Source organism: Homo sapiens, chromosome 14 (assembly GCF_000001405.40).
Source record: "Homo sapiens chromosome 14, GRCh38.p14 Primary Assembly".
Classification (NCBI taxonomy): Eukaryota; Metazoa; Chordata; class Mammalia; order Primates; family Hominidae; genus Homo; species Homo sapiens.
Window position 1 is genome coordinate 78,308,424 of NC_000014.9, and position 24,150 is coordinate 78,332,573.

The window sequence follows — 24,150 nt, forward strand, 5'->3', positions numbered from 1 at the left end:
TGCTCTGCAGCCCTTTTAAATGAAACCCTGCAAAGCCTGCTTTTCTCTGTACTTTGACCTCCTTAGGATGATTTTATATTTTAGCACAGACACAGATTATTAAACGAATGATGTGCAAGTGGGCTTGGATGCATCAGAAGTGAGTTTGGAAAAGAACCTTGTTTGCAATGAGCTGTCTGACAATCAAAATATTTACTTAAAGATAAGCTAATGACTATGCCTCGCAAATGCCTGCAGATCTATTATTGAAATGAGAGTCAGTACATTGGCTTGATACTATAAAAAATAAATCTCAAACCTCAAATACTATTGTGTGTGTGTGTTTGTGTGTGTGTATTATACTTCTCTCCAAATAAAAGTCTTTCAAGCAATAAAGAAATATAGAAAAGTCTCTCAACCCATTTTCTTGAAATATTTGAAATAAATTTGTTACTGTAATCCATTGTTCCTTGTTGCTGGTAAGAATTGCTAAATGGCAAATATGCATTGAACAACACACTCTTCTATTATTAGTGATATCTCTGAACCTGAACTTGATAATGTGAGTTTTGTGGTCCAGTATTTTACCTATAATGGCTTGTGTGCTATGAAGTTGATGAAAGGACTGTGAAACTCAAATCAAATAGAGGCTAATGCCTCTTGCTTATTAAACCTAGACTTATTAAACCTATTTGCGTATTGACTGGGTAAGTTTTAAATGTTCTGTTTCTTTAAAAACAATGCATTATATGGTTTCAAAATAGGCCCAAGGAAAAATAGAAATCTGGGTGAATTTGAGGAAGTTTTGTCATCTTGTAGAACCTCGTATTATATAGCACGTTCAGCCAGATTGTCATCTTCCAAAAAAATTTTGAGAAACGCTAATAATGTTTTTTTTTTTAACTTTTTCTTTAGGTTTGGGATATATGTGCAGATTTGTTATACAGGTAAATTGTGTGCCATAGGGGTTTGGTATAAATTATTTTGTCACCCAGGTAATAAGCATTGTACCCGATAGGTAGTTTTTCCATCCTCTTTCTCCTCCCACCCTCCATCCTCCACCCTCAAGTAGTCCCTGGTGTCTTGTTCCTGTCTTGGTGTCCATGTGTACTCAATGTTTAGAGATGCTAATAATATTTCAAGAAAAAAAAACTACTGGGAAAAGTAAGTTCTGAAAACATAGTTCTAAACTAAGCAGGTTTATTGACTGTGGGACTTCTCAGAGCCTTTGTTATGGCAATGCAAATTACAAACCTCTGAGAAGGAAAATGTACATTTCAAAGTTACCAAAATTTATTTGACATGAAACGCTTTTTTATGATTTTCATTTTGGATGAAAATAGCTAGAATTAGAACTAGTTAGTGTTCAGTTAAAAACACTTTGGACAGCAATTTTATAGTAGCTACCAAAGCTAATATTATAAGGCTTAATGACTCTAAAATTTGAAGGAACTTTTGGATTGGCTTAACTCAAGTGTCTTTTTAAGTACATTTTCTATTTTGATTGGGAATAGTTTTTTTGGAAGGGTTCGTTTAAATAGGGAAATTACTGCTTCCTGGTAAAATACACACCACAGATGTTAAAACAACTGCAATTTTAAAGATACTAGTCTGGTTAAAACACTTCCAGTTTGTATTACCTGAGTACTTAAACAGATATCCATATAGTGAGCATAAACAATACTTCTGAGAATGGCTGCTTAACTCTAGGAAGAGCTGATCTTGGCATAACATGAGAAAACTGCTAGGAACTTTAGTCTTATTTGCTTTCAAATTTGGAGCAGGTCAACAGTCATCATGGTTATTTCTCTACTGTATATCTAAGGTCATTCATCCTGAGAGTCTGGTTATGAATGGCTTTTTTTTTTTTTTTTTTTTTTCCAGACAGTGAACATGTAGGTGAAGGAATTGCTTTCTGGTAGGAATTACTTGTTTAGAAGTCATTGGCTCAGCTAAGGATTTTGTGGGTTGTCGCAGTGCACAGCTGAGGACTTTGTCCTATTTATGTGCTGTCTGTTCAGTATGAAGTGGCAGCCATTGATCCATCTGTAGTACACCATTTGCCTGGGGCTATTTATCTGGTTGTGGAGATGTAGTTTGCTGAGCCAGGCATACGCTCCCTTGTTTCCCCAAGTGACCAGTAATGAGTCTTTACAAATGCCTTGGCCCAAATTGTTACGAGTGAGGTTCTGCAGTTCTAAACTAATTGATCCATGTGACAACTGAACCTGGAATACTAGATCTCCAGGTGTGAATAATTCTAACCTAGGGTCAGCATTATGGAACAAATAGAACAGTGAGATAAATGTGAGGACCTAATTCAGAATGCTGGGGAATAAAACATGGTGGGTTAGAGTACTGATGTTAGTGTTTGACACTCACAAGCTATACAACCTTGTTAAGCTTCCTTATCCTAATAAGCAAAACGGGAGCAAGAATACTAGACACTTCACAAGGCTGCTGAGAGGATCTATTGAGACAATAATATTAAAGGCTTATGGTAGAGCTTAGCTAACATACATAAGCATTAGTTTAGTTATCATAAACATTAACAACAAACATCAGTTATCATAAATACATTTTGTCAATATCAGCATCACTCATTAAATATGGGAACTTTGAACATATTATTCAATCTTTTTGACTATCTGTGTTTTTACCTGTAAAATGCCTACTTGGTACATTTGTTCTGGCTAAGAATTGATACAATGCAGGTGAAAGTGCTGTGCAAATTAAAATAGTGCTACACAGTGTTAAATAATAAGTAGTTCATGAGACTATGAGCACCATAAAATCAGAGGCAGTATCTGATTTTGTTCGTCTTGGTATATCCAGTGCCTGTAACATTGCCTGCCCCATCATAGAAACAACTTAGTAAATACTTGTTGATGAGTTAAGTAACTTCTTAGCAGAGTTCTGCAACAGGGCCAGCCCCAAGTCTTCCTGTGATCCCATTATGCTTTCAATAGAGAGGGTCTTTGGGTACCTCCATTGCAAGAGGGAATCATTAGTCTCTTCCTTTAGAACAAGTTCATCCAACCCCAGGTCTGCAGGCTGCACACAGCCCAGGATGGCTTTGAATGCAATCCAACACAAATTCTTAAACTTTCTTAAAACATTATGAGATTTTTGTGTGTGTGAATTTTTTTTCTAAGCACAGCAGAAATCATTAGCCTTAGTGTATTTCATGTGTGGCCTAAGTCAATTCTTCCTCTTCCAATGTGGCCAAGGGAAGCCAAAAGATTGGACAGTCCTGCTTTAGAGCCTGCCATACTAAAAATAGTAATCCTCATAAAACCTGTTCTTTCTTAGGTTTTTGATAGATGTGTCTGCTTTTTTTTTTGTGCACACAAAGAGCTATAGGATTTCCTTGTATTACTTGATGGAACTATAGGAGCCATGAAGAAAACAAAAACATTTGGTTGGGTTACTTTTAAAAAATGCTGATTTGCTTCCTCAAATCTTAGAAGCATATAATTTCAGAGCTCAAAGGAGACTTAGAATTCCTTTAGTCGATTCCACTGTGATTTTGTGGATGACAGAACATGCTGAGAGGGCATGAGTGATGTGTTTGTCACTGCACAGAAAATTTGTAGCACAATCGGGACTTAGAACAGACTTTCTGACTTCAGATGTTGTTTTCTTTCTCCTCCCACCAAGTTGCCTCTAAGTCCTGGTCATCTTCACTGTTGATGGTATTTGTTATAGATCATTCATAGGCTGCTGAGATCATTGTTGATAATGCCATATAAGGAAGATTCTGGAAGTTTCAGTGTGCAAACTTTCTAAAAAAGGTTATCTCTTAAATTACTAGTCTGCCTGGGAACTGATACAACTCCAGCTTTCAAAGTTGTCAGTAAGCTGCTTTGAATTTCAGTATTTTATGATGCTTTGTACCACTTACACAGACTTGCTTTGTTGATGGCTTTGTCTTGGCTGAAGTAAGACGGTGACACCAGTTGACTTTTAAAAAGCTTTTATACCCATAACTTTTTCTTTCTTGCTGTCCCATGTTGACTATTTATAACAGCGTGGATGCATGTTGAGTGCAATAAAGATGAGCTGTGATGATATTCACCAGGGACTGATTTACAAACTGTTGCTTAATAGTTGTTTGCACTTCCTTTCTTCCTTTAAAATTAGTTGTCATTTTATTTGTAATTTTTTCAACTAAAAAGAAACATTTTTTTTTTCAAGTGAGAGTGTATTTATCTTTAAGCCAGTATCATTTCTGGGTTTTCTTTTTAAAAAACAATTTTTTCGGGGTTCTACCATGTGTCTGATGGGTTAAGTTTAGTGCCCGTCCGTGAGGCAGCCTTGGGGGATGTTGATGGGTGCAGGAAATCGGTTCTTAAATTGTTGCAAAATTGCCTTCCTTCAGACTGTTTTGATCACGAGGGCTCTCAAGTGTCAAAGTCATTTGTAGAACTAGATAGATAAAATGCATGAGCACTAAGCTTTTTTTCCAGGATAGAATAAATAAGTGTGTTTTCTACTATGTGCTCCGCCTTTGATAGTGATTTGTTAAAAGGAAAAAAGAAAGGCAATGATATTAAATATTTACAAGAGTGATTTAGTTCTATTATCCTGTGCGCTGCATCTCTGTTTTTTATAGTGAAATCAGCTACTGTAGAAATAAATGCCATTAAACCAGTGGTAGTGTGAAGGTCACCGCCTAGGCAAGGTTAGAGTAATTTGTGGAGAGTAATGACTTTTGTCAACTTTCCAGATCTCTTCCTGTTTTTAGCCGGCTTCCCTCCAAAAATTATAGGAAAAAAATACATTTGAGGATTCACAGGCTTACTGTCTCTCTTGCATGCCTTATGCCCTTTCTGGCCAACCTGATAGTTGGAAGACTTTCGTGCACTTTTTTGTTTGTTTCGTCTGTTTAGTGGACAGAGACAGGTCTGTTCTCCCTGGAGATGAGCAGCTGCATTCCCATTTACTGGCTTTTCTGTTGGTTCTTGCTTGACAGTTTGTTTTGGAGATCCAGCACTACTTCTTTCTTAGAAATGGTTTATCTTGTCTGAAATAATCCTCCAGTTTCCCTACTTTTACCTCTGCCTTTCTTTAAATAAAGGTTTTTTTTTTTAACAAAACTTTCTCGTATCAGTTTAAATACATTTCTGAATGATTACATGGCATTATCCCCATTTTCACAGGCAAGAAAACAGAGGCCCAAGGTTACAAAGCTAGTTACAGAGCTAGCAGCAGAACCAAGATAAACTGAGCTTTGTCTGACCCCAAAGCCTGAGGTGACACTACTATATACGATACCATCATTTCAATTAATTTCACTGAACCTCAGTTTTCTCTTCTGTAAAATGGGGATGCTAATATATTATTCTAATATATTCTGAATTCATATAAATAGTATTACATATGATGTATTATAAATAATAAGACATTATTTTACTTTTGGTAAAATTGAGAAGTATATAAGCTAACACATATTAAATGCCTAAAAAGATGTCTAGCTCTCGTTATGGTTTTAATATATTCCCTTTCCTCTCGACAGTAACAATAAAGTGTAATTGAATTTAACAAGTATTGAGCACAAGGGATACACAAAATGGGTAAAAATCAGTCTTTGTTCTTGAGCAGCTCACAATAGAGTAGGAAGAAAACCCCTATATAATGAATTCCAAAAGCGATTCACTTTTTTTTCTTTTGTCTTGGGCTTTGTCTGTACCAAATGCCACTTAAAATATGAAAGCCCTTTTCTGGGTGCAAGTAGTTTGTTTCCTATAATGTTGAGATAGCATGTTGACATTGCAGTGGTAGCGACTTGTGGTTTGTTTCTCTGTTAGTCTGTGTTTACTTCATCCTAAAATCCAGAAGAGTGGGTTGAAAATGGGGGAAAAACAGGGATACAGGGAAGTAGCAATGTATATTACTCAGGGCAGGCTAACTGCTATGACAATTCCCAAATCACAGTGGCTTAATGCTAACAAAATTTTCTCACATTCCAGTTTGCGGTGCAGATTGGTGGGTGGTGAAGTGGGGGATCTCTACTCCACACAGTCATTCAGGCACCAAGACACCTTCCGTCCTGTAGCTTTGTCATTTTCTGGAGCCTTGTCCTTCTTTGCAGTCTACTGGCAGAGGAGGAGAGAGCGAGCTTGGAGGATTTTTCCTAAAGGGCCATGCCTGGACATAGTGTGCATCATCTATGATTGGCCAGAACTCAGTCACGTAATCCCATCCAATTGCAAAGGAGATTGGGAAATGCAATTTATCTCTGTGCTCAGGAGAACAGGATAAGGGGCCTGGTGGCTACAGTGACAGTCTCTGCCCCAGTGGATGAGTTGTGTTCTGTGCTTCTGTGTTCTGATCTTGTGTCATGCGTATTAGCTTTCTTCAGCCCACCTTCATTCAAACAAAGGTGAGTATGGTTTCTATGAGATAGAGAATCACTTCTCATTCATTTTTCTATTACACACATGTATGTGTATTTTGTGTATTTTTCTTTTCCGTTCTTTCTTTCTTTCTCTTTCTTTCTTTCTTTCTTTCTTTCTTTCTTTCTTTCTTTCTTTCTTTCTTCCTTCCTTCCTTCCTTCCTTCCTTCCTTCCTTCCTTCCTTCCTTTCTCTTTCTTTCTTTCTTTCTTTTCTTTTTATTTTTTTTTGAGACAGGGTCTTGCTCTGTCACCCAGGCTGGAGTGCAGTGGCATGATCTCAGCTCACTGCAACCTTTGCCTCTTGGGTTCAAGCAATTCTTCTGCCTCAGCCTCCTGAGTACCTGGGATTACAGGCGCTTACCAGCTAATTTTTGTATTTTTAGTAGAGACCCTGTTGGCCAGGCTGGTTTTGAACTCTTGACCTAAGTTGATCCGCCCACCTCAGCCTCCCAAAGTGCTGGGATTACAGGCATGAGTCACTGCACCCAGCTTGTATGTGTATTTTGTATTAAACAAAACCCTTCAGAGTTACTTACATTAGTGTTTCTCAAATTCGTGAGAATCACCCAGGGAACTTGTGAAACTATAGACTTTAGTTCCTGCCTCAGAACTGTAGGACCTGCAGCTCTAAATTATTCTATGATCAGGTAAATTTGAGACACGCTGTGTTACAGCAAATTCCAAGGAATAAAATGAACCGAAAGGAAGTGTATGAGACTTTAATAGAAGTATTTTGTTGTATTTTAAATATTTAAAACAAGCTGCGTTTATGTATACCAAATCTATTTGTTATACGTAGATTTTTGTTGTAGTTCTTGTTTTAAGGGATGTGACCTCTATCTTGCATCCATAACCCAAAAGTGATTGGGATCTTAGCTTGAGTTGATGGAGTGGGGCCAAATGCCTGATTCAATAGGATTTTGTTTTATTGTGATCACTGGGTAAAAATATCTCAGCATTTTTTTTCCTCTTTATCGTCTAAAAAGGGACACTTTTGATTAAGATAATTTTCTTGTTGCATTAAGACAATAATAGGAGTACATGTTTGATAGGCCTGCTTATTTTTTGTGACTGACTTGTGAACAGTTAACTGATGGCAACTCATTTTAGTTTGTAGATATATCTTAATCTCTTGTACGCATAGTAACCATTACCTCCATGATGTTCTGAAATGAAGCCCCTTCCTGTAAAGCTGTGCTTTTTTCTCTTGTAGCTAGAGGTTGGCCCATTGTACTATTGGAATGGATGTCAGAGTGTGGATAATTCTGGGCTTGTGATTTTTTTCTTTCTCCTATTTTATCTGCCTCTTTTTGTGTCTTTGTGAGCAAGTCTGTGATTACTATTGAGTTTTTTTCCCTAAATGCCAGCAATTATCTCACAGGTGGAGGGATTAGGAAAGAGCTGAGAGAAATGCACTGGGTTTAGAATAAAGGCTCCCCACCCCCACTTTAAATATGGTGACAGGAGGGAGTGTAGAGTTGGGGGCGGGGGTGGCAGACAGCTGTGGGGGTAGGGTGGACAATTTGCTTCTGATATTTAAATCCCTAGAAGGAGTAAAGGAAGAAATTCCTAAGGAAAGAAAGAGGAATTAAAGACCTATATAATAAGATATTTTGGGGTTATTGTTTCAGGGAGCTGGAGATGCAGGAAGGGAGGGGCAGCCACTTTTCTTAACTTGCTTTACCTGCCTCTTTATCTGAAAGGTGTTTGTTTGTTTGTTTTTTTCCTTTGGTCTGACAATTTATTTTTGGAGGAGAAGGGAGCTGGGAGGGCCTAATATATATGCCCAGGCCAAGAGAATTTTGGTGAGACATTCCCTTTCTTCCCAGCAGAGAATGATTTATTTATTTGATATGTCAGTTAGGATGCTTTCAGCTGCAAAGAACAGAACTTTCAACTCAACTGCCTTAAACAACAAAGGGCATTTATGGGCTCAGTTTCTAAAAAGTCCAGTAACTCACATGATATGACCAAGACCTAGTGTTTGTCTTCCCCATTTTTTGGCTTGACTTTCTTGGTGTTGGCTTCATTTTTGGCAGCTCCTGCCCATGTGATTTTAAGATGGCTGATGGCCATTCCCAGGATGATTTGGTTTTTGGTCTTTGTAAGTGAGAGAGAGTAACACTCTTCCTTGACTGTATTAGTCAGGGTTCTCCAGGGAAACAAAACCAAGAGGAGATATATATGCACATGATGATTGTTATGAGGAACTGGCTCACGTGATTAGGGAAGCTGAGAAGTCTTATGATCTGCCGTCTGCAAACTGGAGAGGAAGCCAGTGGTATAGTTTCAGTGTGAGCCCTAAAGCCTGAGAACCGATGGTGTCAATCCCAGTCTGAGGGCAGGAGAAGACTGATGTCCCAGTGTAAGCAACAAGGCAGAGAAAGCATATTCCCCTTTCCATAGCTTTTTTGTTATAGTCAGGTCCTCAGTGGATTAGATCAGGAGTCTCCAACCCCCAGGCTGTGGACCAGTGGTGGTTCATGACCTGTTGGGAACCAGGCCGCACAGCAAGAGGTGAGTGGCAGGCGAGTGAGCATTATCGCCTAAGTTCCGCCTCCTGTCAGATCAGTGGCAACATTAGATTCTCATAGGAGTGCAAACCTTATTGGGAACAGTGTATGCGAGGGATCCAGGTTGTGTGTTCCTTATAAGAATCTGACTAATGCCTGATGATCTGAGGTGGAACAGTTTCATCCTAAAACTATCATCTCCTCCCCTCTTCTGCTTTCCCCCTGCCACTCCATCTGTGGAAAAAGTATCTTCCATGAAATTGGTCCCTAGTGCCAAAGAGGTTGAGGACTTCTGGATTAGATGATGCTTGCCCACATTGGGGAGGGCAATTTGCTTCACTCAGTTCACTGATTCTAATGCGAATCCCATTTAGAAATACCTTCCCAGACACACTCAGAACAATGTTTAATCAGAGTACTGGGACTCAGTTAAGTTGACACGTAAAATTACACTTCACAAGTCTACCCCTTTTCAACTCGACACTCATCTATATCTCCTTAAATGATACTTAATCTATAAATAAAGATAAAAAGATCATAATTTCACCTAACGTGATACACCTATCCTGAGTATAATTGAAAATGCACTAAAGAGTTGGTTTTCCTCCTACAGTATATTGGATTTAGGGGGAGGCTGGATATTTGACTCCAAATTTTGGGAATAGGGAAATGGATATTGAGTTGCAAATGCCAGCTCTACCTTGATAGAATAACTTTCAAAATATGAAACCAAACCCAACTAGGTTCTTAATAAGGACTTGGGAAATTTGGGGGTGTATATTTTTCATCCTTACTATCTGGCTGTGAAATCATCCTATTTCCATGAGAAGGGGATGTCAAAGAGGGAGCTTGTGTGCCAGCATAGGTAACATTTGGAAGCAGAGAGGTGAAAGGGGAAGGCCATTGGTATCCTAGCATCTGTGGAATCAGGGACTCAGCATCTTAGGATCTTAGTTCATTGACATGAAAAGAGGCAGGGAAATGTCTGTGGGAATGGAGTGAATGCCAGGCCCAACTTTCTTAAGTGGAAACTGCTCTGATGGCATCCTTTCCTTCTGCCTTGATCTCAGGCCTCCACTTAGGTCACCTGACATGGATTGCTATTGATGGATAGCTGACTGAGGCAGCCCTCTAGTCTCAAGTGTGTTTTTAACAGAGTGGCTCTCAGTAAATACCTGTTTCTCAAATGCCTCACCTCATTCACAGAGTCTTTCTTTTTAGCTGCTGCTCAATCAGCTGCTATTTCTTAGCACACTGACCTAATTTCCAACCACACATTTCATCTAGGATTTTGAGGCAGCAACATCCCCCCCGATTCCCCCAATGTCACTGCGGGTGTTAGCTCTACCTTGACTTGTGGCCACAGTTCTTATTACCTGCCTTAGCCGTCAGTATAACAAGGGGCAGCCAGTGTGGCAGGTAGAACAGAATGAGTTCCCTAGGGTGCAACAACTGGAAGGATGTGGTTATCAGGTTCTTCAAACCAAATACCATGAGAGCAAAGGCCCTTCTTGAAAGGGCTGCTGCCTCTTAGCACCAAGGTTGCATTTGACCTTCTCAAACTGCTTTCTAGGCCAGTGTGTCTCACAATCTAATGTGCACCCGAATCATCTGGACATCTTGTTATACGCAGGTTCTGCGTGGGGAGGGTTGAGGTGGAGCCTAAGATTCTGCATTTTTAACAAACTCCCAAGGGATGTCCATGATGTTGCTGGTATGTGGACCATTCTTTGGAGGGACAAGTCTTTGAGGCCATCACTTTGAATGATCTTGCAAGTGAGGGCATCTGCTTCTTTCTCTCTAATAAGTCAGAATGCAAAGATCCAAAGGAGGAGAACAGCACTCCTTGGAAGTAGATGGGAGAGCTGGGACTCAGATTCTTAGGAATTAGTTGTTATCTTCAGGCAACCACGCAAGTGCCTGCTGAAACTCAAGCCTTCTCATCCCCCTTGGATAATAGAAGTGGGGCGTCAGTCTGCCTCTGTCTCCGTGTCTGTATGGGAAACATGGAGGTCATGGCATATATGACAAGTGCACATGTGCTGTTCCATTCCCACAAGGAGAGAAACATGGGGAGTAGCCTATAATTCTGTGTCTACCAGACTCCTCTTCATGCTCCTAAAAAGGCCTGTTTCTGTAACAAATCATCACCATGAGGACACATTTCTGGGGGCCTACATGATTCACAGACTGCCCATTGTAAGTTGCTTGTAATTATCAATAGGAAACTCATGTGACCCGTGAGCCCCAAGTCCCACCCCCTTGCCCAAATTTATCAGGGCTTGCCTTACACACTGGTGGTTGCTATGGGCTTGGGTGACTCCCAACAGCGATGACAATATACATTCTCAGTAACCTGGAGCTGGCACTGAGGCTGCAGCCCTGGACATGGGGTGTCCTCTGGGTATAATCTCACTTAACTTTACTCTGCAAATGCAATGTTGGTCTTGCCATCCCTGTGTTGTGTTCAGTCTTGTTTGATCTCACTCTCCCTGTTACCCATCTGTATAATCCCCTGGGAAGAATGAGATCTAAACAAAAACAAAGGAGAAAATGCTTAAGAAATATAATCTGACTGTCTAACAAAGCAGATAGTTAAGTCTCTGGTGGACTCCTTTGTTTTATTTGGACTAGAGGGAGGAAGAAAAAAGCTTGGGACTGCTGCTGGAGGAACAGAAGTGCATTAGGAGGCTCATATTTCACAACTGGTTGCCAGTGTCTATATTGGCTGATGGCTCTGGTTTCCAGCTGGCGGTGGCCTTGGTTGAAACATTTACCTGGTGTCTTCAGGGATGCTGTATCAACAGCTGTAAGTAGAGCTAGTTATTCAGTCTGCTCTGAGAAAGGTTAAAGTGTGTGTCTTTGGCTTCCCCAGGGACTAATCCAGTAACAGGAGAGTCAGAGAGAACACGTACCACTTGGGAGGGGGTTTCTTCACCGGGATTTTCGTTGTTATTTTAGTTACAAATGGAAGCATTTAAAACCTAAATCTGTATTTAGGCAGTGAGAGGAGAAACAGGGACGGAAATGAATTATTTATTTCATCACTGGGGTCCTGGAAGCGTGGAGTGGGCGTTAATCTCCTTTGAACAGGAGCCTCTGGGTCGGGCTTGAGGTCGTCTGTGTGAGATCTGACCTTATCTGCTCCTGGCCAGACATCTCGGCTTTGAGGAAATTGACTTGAGAATACTCCAAATAAACCCTTTACCTTGTTGTTCAGAAGGATGTGAATATTTACCTAGCATATAGTCAGAGGAATCGAAAGTGCTTGTGTCTGTGATTTCTTTTAATCCCATTATTTCCCAGTAGATCTGACGGGAGACCTAGAAGCAAGGGAGGAGTGCCTCACGCTGGTGGTCAACTGGGAGTTGGGGGTACCGTGTGGCTTTCCTGTGTGTTGTGCTCAAGGAATGTGTATCTGCACATTTATCCAGTGAGAGAGCTGCTTTTGTTCCCATTTCACTGATGAGGAAATCGAGGTTTAAAGAGATTCAGCATCTCACCTAAGATCACCCAGCCCTGGCTGGGTGCGGTGGCTCATGCCTGTAATCCCAGAACTTTGGGAGGCCGAGGTGGGTGGATCACAAGGTCAGGAGATCAAGACCATCCTGCCCAACATGGTGAAACCCCGTCTCTACTAAAAATGCAAAAATTACCTGGGTGAGGTGGCGCATGCCTGTAATCCCAGCTACTCAGGAGGCTGAGGCACGAGAATCACTTGAACCCAGCAGGTGGAGGTTGCAGTGAGCCGAGATCGCACCACTGCACTCCAGTCTGGTGACTGAGCGAGACTTCATTTCAAAAAAAAAAGAAAAAAGAAAAAGAAAAAAGATCACCCAGCCCTAAATTATCCCTGCTGGGATTGCTGGGATTCAAGTCCAGGGTGCTCTTCATAACCCCATCTTGAGCTCTTTCCAGTGTCTCGTGCATGCTGCTACTTTCCATCTGCCCCAAGGCAGCATATCTAATAAAAACATTGAAAAACTTTCCCAAGGCCAGGAAGGGAGAAGTAAATGGGTCAGGGGTTACAATCACTGGTAAAGACAGAACAAAACCCATCTTCATAAAGAACAGTGATTTGCCCTTTTACCCTCTCCTGTCCTATTTCTGTTTTTTTCTGGATTCATAAATATTTGTATGTGAATACTCTTGTATGTGTATACCCTCTCTTTCCTTTCGTCTTCTCTGCTCTTTAGAGGGCACAATGAGTAGTTGTCATTGTTTTTTAAAGGTTCCTGCAAGGCTCTCTGTTGGATTTAGTTTATTCTTGCTAAAACATTTCTGAGACAGCTGTTGAAAGCAACTGGTGCTTTGTACATTTCTGTCTTCAGTCATCAAGGTGGGGTTCTTGGTTCCATGGTAGAGAGAAGGAAGGGTTGGGTGTACTTCTTCCTTTCACAGTTTTGAAGTTTCAAGGTCCCTAAACCGAGTCAAAAGAGGTATGTGTTTGAAAATGCTTTATGCCTCCAAGGTCTCATAGGCTTCAAAACATTGCTGGTTTCCCCTTCCAGATCCATTGCTTGAGTGTCTGTTGTGTGCTGGGCGTCGGAGATTCAGAGACCATGTTCCTTGATAACCAGCAATTACCTTCTGAATGTTACCTGAGTGCAGATGAGGAAGGTCTCTGAAAGCATACAGGGCGGGGGCTTCCAATACACACTCCCTACTTTGGACTGTTCACCACTTTGAATAAAACTAGGATCACACTCCCATTCCTTCCAAAATTCTTACTCCTTTCTACCGCACTACCCTCAATCTGCATACCAGCCCTTTTTTTTTAATCAGCTCTTAAATTTTACTCTAATCCAAGCCAAAAAATTTTATTGAGCCTTCATGGGTTATTAGGGGCAGGGGGATTGCATAAATGAAATAAGCCAAACCCTCAGCTTCTGAATCTTTACAATCCTTTGGGGAAGATGCCTGTCAAATATGTAATTGGGAAAGCCACAGATGTTAGGAAAAGGGGCAAAGTGTACTAGGGAAGTTGAGTAAGGAGGTTGCACTCCCTGGCTATTCGGAAAGGGGTGATCATTCCTCCTGGACTCTAGTTTGAACATCCTTTGCCTTGCTCTTGCTACTCCATGAAAATGCGCTCTGGAGTCCAAGACCTCCAATAGTAGTATTGTGTAATGTTGTAGCCTTATTTAATGTCTCTTTGTTTTCTGATTGTCTCTGTCATGTTGCTTGCCGTGATATACCACCTTCTGTGGGGCTGCAGACAAATAAATCCTCCCTCAACTCTGTGCTCCATGTGTCACTCTCCCAATGAAAAGACTTTTGATGGCTGCCCCCATTCCCTAGAAGATAAAGTTCAAGCTCCTTAGCCTGGCATTCGGTACTTCACAGTTTGGCTAACCTCAGCTCCCATCCCACTTGCTGAAACCTTGGCTAGAACCCCACCCTGCTAATCCATGATGCTTCACTATCCCAGGTGCCGTCTTATCTCTGCTCGTGCTTGCCCATTTATCAGGGACATTTCTCCCATTTGTAGCCATATCTTGAAGTTTAATTTGAGCCTCACACACTCTGTGACACTTTGCCTGGCCACCTCAACTCCTTAGAATGTCGTGCTGCTTTCTAGCTGCACCATGCATTAGCTATCTTCCCCGCACTATGCCTTTCTGCAATGTGTGTCACCTTCGTGTCTCCCCAACCAGTCTGAAATGAGGCTGGGCACCTTATTTCTTACTCCTTATGGCCACCATAATGCCTCTACAAATAAAGGCTTGATGTTATAGGAGAGGAGATTGACTGTATCTGATTAACTAGTATTTCACAGGGTTTAACACAATGCTTGGGTGGGGGATAAATAGGAAAAGAACTTGAAGATTTAAAGTGAATTTAAAATTGTATATATCTTCCCAAATATCAACCTACGAACATGATAAAAGTATTACTTTCATTTTTGTGGGGGATGAGGTACCGTGGTATGGGCTACAGAAATTGAGATTGGGGCAGAGGAGGAACAGTAACACAGAAGGAGGTGAGTTGGGAAAGAATGAAGAGAGACCTAAAATCAAAGTGCCCTGTGTGTGGATTGAGAAGCCCTGGATTTAAGTCCTAACTCTGCATTTCTGACTGCATAGCTTGGGTAAGACGCAGCACACCTGGAGCCTCATCTGTTGAAGGGGGATTTAACCCCTGCCGTGCCTGCCCCAGGTTTGTTGGGAAATTAAATGTGTGCAGTTTGTAAACTGTAAAGTGTACTGTGAATGGAAGGGAGTGGTGTTACTATAAACAGCATCATCATTTATCAGCTAAATCCTCCCTGAGCCATACTGTGGCAGGGGAATAGATCGATGGATAGGTCTGCTGTGACAGGCAGGAAAAGACCAGACTGGAGGGAGCCTGTGGTCAGATCCTGTAGGCCCTCCCATCTGTACGAATATTCTCATGCCAAGGAAGTGCTTCCCTAGGCCTTGTGAATAAAGATAAGGTGCATAGGTCCTAACCTTACCTGTGACAGGTACAAGTGGGAGCCCAGTCCCAGGATCCTGATGGTCAGATATCAGGTTTTGGGGTATAAATATGAACACAGGAACTAGCAGGAGAGGTGGGTTGTGGTTCTAGATCTGTACTTACCAGCCATGAGCAGTTTCTCCAAATGTAGTATTATTAATACAATGAGTGCCAAGGATGGAGTGCTTCATGGCCATTATCTCACTTCATCCTTGCAACAACACTATGAGCTGGGTGTATAGCAATATGTGTTATTATCCTCCTACTACAGACAGGAGAACAGGGTCAGGGATTGAGACTAGCCCAAGGTAACTAGCTAATGAGAAACCCGAGCTGGGATTGGAACCCAGGCCTGAGCTCTTAACCACTATGCTCTGCAGCCTTCAACCTCTTGGAGCCTGTCTTTTCATCTGTATTATGGGGATAAACCCGCTTACCACATGGGGTATGAGGATCTGATGAGAGAATGGACATGGAAGGACTGTGCACACTGCAAAGTGTCTATGGTACATTCACTGAGCACCTACTGCATACCTGGCATTGCTGTGGGTACTAGGACATAGTGGAGCATAGGACAGCTGAGACACCTGCTCACAATGAGATGTGTTCTACCCATGATCTGTTAACAGAGGAAGCTGTCAGAAAGTGGGAAGAAAAAAATGCAGTGATCTGAGAGTGTTTTTGTTTTCAAAAAGGAAGAAGTCCTGTTAATTGCCAGTCATTGCCCTTTAAGTCTACCTTCATTCATTCTGAAGTATAAATAACAAAACCAAATTAAGAGATTACGCAATGTGGGAAATTTACAGAGACAGTTAAACAGAGAAAAGCAAAGAGAGTGCATTAATAAAAGGACAAATCATGTCAGGACATTCTGATCACTACAGAAAAGCAAATCACAGTTCTAGAAGGTGAGAAGTATGCAGTGGATGTAATATATCTGGATTTTAGTAAAATCACTTGATGGAGAAATGGCCTGAAATCTTGCCTGAGAAATTAATTCAAGCTGGCCAGGGGGGAAGCCATGTCACTCAGAATGAGAACTGGCTGGGAGATGGGAGTGAAGGTTGTGATGACAAATGGCCTTAGCTTTCGGGGTGTGATAGGGTCAGGTGAGAAGACCCAATTTGGCCATCATCACTTAATGATCTGGAAGAACAACTAAACTCCTGGTACTGACATTCATACGTGATGCTAAATTGGGAGGTGTCATGGCGATGGCTTGTGGAAGGAAGCATAGTATAAGAGGTCAGCAGTCAAGGACAGGAGGCCGAGGCAGGTAGGAACAATGCGGGAGAGTACAGGCAAGGACAAATGGAGGGAATTTCCTTGAGGACAATCTGCAAACATTAAAAAATTTGCAAATATATAAAAATTAGCATCAGGACAGGAATGAGACAAAGGTCCAAGGCCGTCCAAGGATTTATCCTTCCATAATTTGAACTGAACGTGAGGAATGGACAGGGGTTATGTTTCGGGGTGTGGGAAGGCACCTGAGCCATGGTGGTCCTTATAGCCACAGTGTTGCATAGGACTATCCCTTCCTCTCTCTTCAGTGTGATAGGGTCAGAGGCAGAAGTACTCTGCCTTTCACAGTGTCACAGATTGCTTGAATGAATGTACACTGTGCACATTTGCATTCTGCCTCTACTACTGAATCTGTAAAATGGGAGAATAATAGTCCTTACTTTGGGAATTTTATGAGGAATAGACAAATGTGATACCCTAACACCATGCCTCATATATGGTAAGTGCTTGATAGATGTTATCTATTATTATCGTTATTTTTATCATTATCATCATTGCCCTGTGTGCCCAGTCTGTACCTGATGGAATGGCCTTTCTCATTCAAGTAGGGGAAGAAACATCCAGAGAACAGTTTGAAAAAAAGCATAGGGTGTAAAAAAAAAGCCTAGGGTCAGGGGATCTAGATTCTTTCCCAAGCTCTGCTATAGCTGACCTTGAATGAGTTGTTTCATCTCTCTGCCCCTGTTTCCATTTGTACAAACATCTGGGGCTTGACCTGGTGATCTCTGAGGTCCCTTCTAGCTGGAAAAGTTTGCAAATCTATACAAATATGCAAAGTGAGTTGAGCTTTGTATTATTCAAGTTGTCATTTTTGAGGGATATCTTCTAACACATCTCACTCTATAGACTTATTCTTTACCCAGCAATTGCCATCCTGGAGAGGGTGACAAACTTGTATACTTTTAGCACTGAAAGCCCCGTCTTCCAGAAACCCCCTTAGTCCTGGGCAAACCAGGATGATTGGTTAGCCTGCCCATAGGATAACTGCTAGCCTGTTGGAATGTTGCATGGAAGTCTAAATACACATCTGCAAGAATGCAGGAGTTTTACTGAGCTCAGGGGAGCCATCCCTAGAAAGCCACCCAACATTTTTTATGGGGAGTAGAGTGATCAAAGTTGGGGAAGTGTGTGCATTGGAGGTGCCAGAGACACGAGTACCTATAGAATGATATCTGTGGCCATACCTCATCTCTACACTGACCCAGTCCCACTCAGGGTTCTTTTGGCTGCTTGCAGCCTTAACATGTGCTGAGAGGAGAGTCATGAGTCTGAGAAGGGCACCATTTCACAGGATAAGTAAATGTGAAGTTACTCTGTGAAAAGAATGAGCTGAAACAAGGAGTTGGTTATGTTTTCCACAGCTCCATCTGGAATAACATGTTCCGTTTTGGATTCCTCAGGGACCAGAAAGGTGACAGGTTGAAGGGACTGTGAGGGAGTCACGCATGTGATTGACAATGTAGAGGAAGTAATTGAAGGGAAAAAAAGAAAAGAACAAAAGGTATACATCGTGGTGGGGTGCACATGTTTGTGCAGGGAAAGAGAAGTTAACTAGGACATCCAGGAGCAGAAGTAAGATGAAGCGTGGTGTTCACAGAGCAATGGAGGTTGAGGCAAAATTCGCTCTGAAGTTACACATTTAATTCTGCAAATATTTATTTAGCAGCTACTTACTCTGTGCTATGATCTGTTCTAGGTGTGGGGAACACATAAAGATGATTACTGCCCTTTCTTTGTTCTAGTGGAGGAGACATGCAGTGTGTGTAATTGTGAACAGAATGGATCTGAATTCGAATCCAGTTAGTCTGCTTACTCACACAACTCACTGTGTTGCCTTGAGTGAGTTACAAAAAAAAAAAAAAAAATCTCTCTGTTCCTGAGTTTCCTCATCTGTAGAATGGACATAATCATAGTACTGCCTGTTATGGTTGTGAGGATTAAACTAGTTTATGTATTTTAAGTACTTACAAGAATACTTGGCACATGATCCATGTTACTAATATTATTATTAAGTGAACTAATGCATTCAAAGTGCTCAGTGCAAGACTCAATAAATGTTAGATATTATTAGTTATTGTTAATGGTATATCGAAATGAGGCATAATAGAACCATGTTTGAAGTGCAAAGGCAACAAAGACAAGGCAAAATCACTTGGGGTCGGGGAAAGAATTAATATCACAGAAACCTACTGTCAACCTAAAGGTGATATTTGAATGGGGATAGGAAGGATCAGTAGAGCTTTGCCTGCTGGGAAGAAAGGGAATCCTAGGTGAAGCAAACAACATGAACACTGGCTCATCTCCTGAGGTTGTAGCTGGCAATTTGATCTTTTATTTTTTAGCTTCTTAGGAGCTTTTTGTAGCAATTCCTGCTGCATTTGCTGATGAATACAGCACCAAAGACAGTAAGTTATTTACCCTACTTATTATTTATAGCTCAAACTCCAGGCTTGAACTCAACGCATTACTTTATGGTACTTCAACTATAAGGGATTTTTGTTGTTGTTTGGCAGACGCATTGACTGATTCATTTATTCACTCATTCAGCAAATATTTATGGAATGCCTATTATCCGCCTACTGCTCTTGTAGATACTGGGCATATAGCAGTGAGCCAAGAAACTGCTGCTCTCATGGAGCTTCCATTTCAGAGGAGGAGGCAGGCATCAAAAGAAGAAGTATATACTACATCAGGCGGTGATAAATGCTACAAAGAAAGATAACAGGAGTGGGAGCCTCCCTCACAGAACTGAAAACATGCACTCAGCCTAGGCCTGGGCTCAGGATCTGGAGGTGCTAAAGGAGGATCCAGGGGAATGTAGAGCAGTTGGAGGTCCAGCCGCTGCTTCATGTCAGTGAGGTGAATCAGCACATCAGCAACAATGTGTATGGGCTGCAAAATGGCTAGTGCTTTTCCTCTATCCTCCAAATTGCCCAAGAGTCTTCCTTAAGGCCCTCTCTAAGCAGAAACATTCAAGAAAGAGAATTCTGGGAAACGTAGTTCAGCCTAGCCAAGTTGACACATAACAAAGCCGACACACAGGGGATGGGGTGGGTGGAGGCTCCTAAGACTCATCTTGCTCTAAATCATAGCTCTCTACAGGGAAGGCTTCTGTGAGTTAAAATCCCAATTGTTCCTAGGCAGTCTAGGAAAAAATAATTCTCATGAGACGTTTTTGACTGTTCGCTCAATAGACGATGACTCTCCAGTTAAAGCTATTTCTCAGGGTAAGCTTCTTTTGATTTTCCAGCAACTACTCAAGTACCCAGATGGTAACTAATAGGAGATTTGATTCATGTTCCCTGGGGTGGAAGATGTTGAGTTGCATCAATCATCATTAACCACAGCATCATATTCAACTATTTGACGCAATAGAATTCAATTGACATAATTATTCCATGTAATAGAACTAAAAAATGAAACAAGAGCTTGTCTCTGGGAAATAAAAAAAGCTAATGCAAACGTAAAGACAACTATCCAATTGAATTTGATCATTTATTTAGTCACTCATTTCACAAGTATTTGTGTTCAACATAGGCACATTAATGGGCTAAGCATGGAGGTGATGCATAAATATCCACACCAGTCCTTCTTGATATCAAGAATTTTCCAGATATGTAATTTTAATCCAGCTTAAGAGCTAGGGATGGAGATGCTACAAGAGGAAGTGTGTAAGTCTCTCTGGGCAAAGAAGGAAAGGCTTTGAGATAATTTCTTACCTGCATATAAGATGATATCCCCACTTTCAAAGAACTTAAAATCTAGTTGAGGATTGACATGTATACATGGCAAGGTACTATCTTACAACTGCAAACCTAGGCTGCTGAGGAAGTGCAGCAGGCATTTGGGGTAGGGGTGGGGACAGGATTCTGCCACATGGTCTCCATCACAGCTTTAAAAAAACCAGATCTTTTTGTGTTCATTCCAGAAGCTGCACAGTTTCTAGAGACTTGTCTTTTCACAGGAAATATCCTACTCAGAAATAGTGTATTTGGCAGGGGACTATTCTCCTGCAATCTTTGCCTTTGTCTACAGCATGTTAAAATGAGAGAGCTTCTGATTCATAGGAGTTATAAAAATAATATAGTAATTACAAAGTTCACTTTCGTGACTCACTTTGCTCTAAATTCTGGCACTCTACAGGGAAACCTTCTCTGAGTTAAAATCCCACTTGCTGTTTCTAGTTTGAAAGTGTCAATGGGTCCACAATTTTGAGGTTGAATCATTCTGCAACACGAGGGCTTGAGGGGGAAGCTTGGGGACCTGAAGAATGACAGTTTTCAGTGTTTGTATATGTCTCTTTAAAAAAGTAGGAAATAAATTGGCTGATTTGTCATGATTACATCATGTGTAATACTTGATCACAGAGTACCTTGTTTTGGATTTGTATTTATTTTTCTCCCTCCTGCTCCTATCTAATTGCCCTCTCCAGAATGAAGGCTTCCACTGCCTTTTGGCTTCATTAACAGCTTTCATTTTCATTAAGAGCTTTGCGCTAATGGACTGTTATAAAATGCACAGTTGTTTCTTGCAGTCACTGCCAAATGCCTCCCATTCTACTGACAGTTTTGTGCATTAGGCCAAAAAGAAGGGGGAAAAATCCAGTAGGAATTAATATCCAAGGAGAAGATATAACTACCTCTGTCCTTGAGGTTTTTTGGGGAAGTTGGGATCAGCACCTGGAAGCCCATGACTGTTTTCTCTCTGCTCTTTAAATGTTTCTTGATTCGACAAATGAAAGAAGACAATAGGAAGCTCATTTTTCTCATAATATTTTGGAATTTGAGGGTTGTTGAGAATTAGACTTACAGAGGCTTCACAAGAAGGAACACTGATAGTGATTAGATTTCATCAACCTGGCTCCAATTACACATACAATGGTTATTATTGCAGTTACGAGCATCAAAACAGCAGATGCTCCCAGGGTAATACTTGGTGTACCGTCCACCATATGCAATGGAAGGCTCAGTATTGATGTATGGTTGCAGAGTTTGATTTCTTTATACGGTAGGGTGGTTTCTGTACTCCTAGTGACACAGTTAAACAGAGAATATTTTAAAATCTTAGGAATTTAAAGAAGCTTAGAGATAATTAATCCAATCTCCTCACCCTTTCATTTTCTTGAAACAGAGAGAGCTTGAGGAATGGGTAAGTGTGACCTAGATGTCAGCTGCAGTCACCTTGACCCTAAGAGATTTGGCTAAGCTTGACAGGAGTCCCCACAATGTGCCTTATGAGTTAAACTCTGCACTCCCACCCCCATTCTCTTTCCTGTTCTCTCCTTCTGGTGTTTTTTTCCTCCAGAACACTAAGAAAATTCTTCCTCTCATTTCACATGGAAGGAGCCCACCTAATTTAGGTGGGCTTGGTACACTGTTCTTCCACTCTAACGCCTTTCCCAAACAAATTTAAATCTTTCTCAGACAATTAGTAGGGAAAAAATTACTCCATCATATTACATTAATCTCAGAGCTAATCTAAAACTCAGGTTTTAAATTTTTGATTCCATGCTGTTTCTACAATATAATGTATTTCCTTGAAATAAGGTATGCCATAGTGCTGAAAGCCATTGCCATGTATGATATACTTGGGTTTTTTGAATTTGTCCAGTCTTTTCCACTTTGTAGGAAGGTTCTAAGATTAGCCAACCCCTTAATGGGCTGATATCTAGAATCAAGACTTAAAGTTTTTATATTAACTAATTAAAATCTTTGTAATTATACACTTATGTAATTGATATGGATGTTAATATAACCTCATTAATATCTTTGCAAACGAACTGATAGTATATACAAATTTACTAGCAGTTTTTCATTACTCTGTAAGTACATACCTGTTGCCCCTTATTAAATAAAATATATCAGTACATTTCCTAACATTTCCCAGTTTTATGTTCTTGTATATTTGAAACATTGGAGTCAGAATCTGTTTGCCTTTGTGTTTGAGCATGCAAATTTTAAAGGGTCAGGGCTCTAGTTCTTAGATTTTATGCAGGATATTTTGCTCATCATGAGTCTATAATGTCAAATAATAACCACAAGGATTTACAAAGCCCAGTTTGAGAAAGGTCACCAAAATATATGAGTTGACTTTTAGAGCTGATACTCTAGGCTTGAAATGAGGATGATTAAATCTTAAACCTTCACTAAAGTTTGGAAGAGCCTGGCTGGATTTGAGTTTTAAAGACCGAGGCATGATTAGCCTTCTTTTTCTATCATACCCTTCTCCCAGTTTAGCTACTGAGCACTGTCTTTAAAAGTACTGTTGTTTTAATAAAAAAAGGAACAAAAGTATTACCTCATCAGCATTTAAAACATGAAAAAATGGGATGGAGAAAAGACATGAGATGAAAAGACTAGTTTGAAAATGTTCCAAGATCCCAAGATGCAAACATGCAAAGCATCATGGGGGCAGAGAACGTGGCCGCATGAGGTAGCTCCAATCTCAGCAACATAAAAAGGCAGAGTGTTTACCAAATCTTTGAAACAGCTTTATTCCCAGAAAGGACCAATTATAGTTGAATATAATCCAGAAAATTGTGATTGAAGGCTACTTCCTGGAACAGGTAGCCTGAGAGTTCCAGGATGTGTGAGTTGAGGAGGAAATGCTGTTCACTTCCAAAGAAATGACTGGTGAGTAGAAGGCATCTGAAGGACAATGACTGACATCCTAAAGACTGGGGAGTGTGCAGAGGGTAAGCTGTTATCATTTGATGTATTGGAATGAGAGTGCTTGATTACTCAATATAAAAATAGTTTTGTCCTGAGATCTGGAATTTCACTCTGCTGCATCAATATACAGTTTTACGGGCAACCTTAAAACAAGGACCATGTAATTATGGCCAGCCAGGCCAATTAGAGAGAAAACCATGAAACAGCTGGGTGTTAACTATCTCTGGAGGTTGATGTTGAGAAAAAACCATGAACTTCAGAGCTCAGTAGACTTGAGATTAGGGCTCTGCCTCTATCCTTATCAACTGTGTGACTTTGGGCAAGTCATTTAACCTCTCTGAACCTCAGTTTCCTCTTCTAAAAAGGGAGTAATAATGAAGACCTCATCATGGTGTTTTCAAAGTAAATTAATTGGCATACATAAAGCAGATAGTGGAATACCTGGCATAAGGCAAACCCTCGATAAATATCTTTTCCCTTATCTCCCTTCAATTCTTTTCTTCCTCCCCATCATTGTTGCCCTCTTTGCCTTTGGCCCCTATCTTTTACCATATTTTCTTTTCTTCTTCTTTTTTTTTTTTTTTTTGATGGAGTCTTGCTCTGTTGCCCAGGCTGGAGTGCAGTGGCATGATCTCAGCTCACTGCAACCTCTGCCTCCCGGTTTCAAGCAATTCTCCTGCCTCAGCCTCCTGAGTAGCTGGGATTACAGGTGTGCGCTACCGCACCTGGCTAATTTTTGTATTTTTAGTAGAGATGGGGTTTCACCATGTTGGCCAGGCTCGTTTCGAATTCCTGACCTTGTGATCTGCCTGCCTTGGCCTCCC

At 40.8% G+C, this 24,150-nt stretch overlaps 1 protein-coding gene across 51 annotated transcripts in view, besides 1 other annotated feature; it reads left to right on the plus strand.

The window, feature by feature from the left end:
* Positions 1–24,150, plus strand: part of NRXN3 (neurexin 3) — a 1,697,919-nt gene that overhangs the window by 138,051 nt on the left and 1,535,718 nt on the right. The window lies entirely within an intron of this gene.
* Positions 18,782–19,981: an enhancer, noted in NCBI's record as "CDK7 strongly-dependent group 2 enhancer chr14:78793548-78794747 (GRCh37/hg19 assembly coordinates)". NCBI's record gives its function as "activates an origin of replication core promoter dependent on BRD2, BRD4, P300/CBP, MED14 and CDK7 cofactors, with strong dependence on CDK7, by STARR-seq in HCT116 cells {active_cell/tissue: HCT116}" and the evidence as "EXISTENCE:reporter gene assay evidence [ECO:0000049][PMID:35650434]".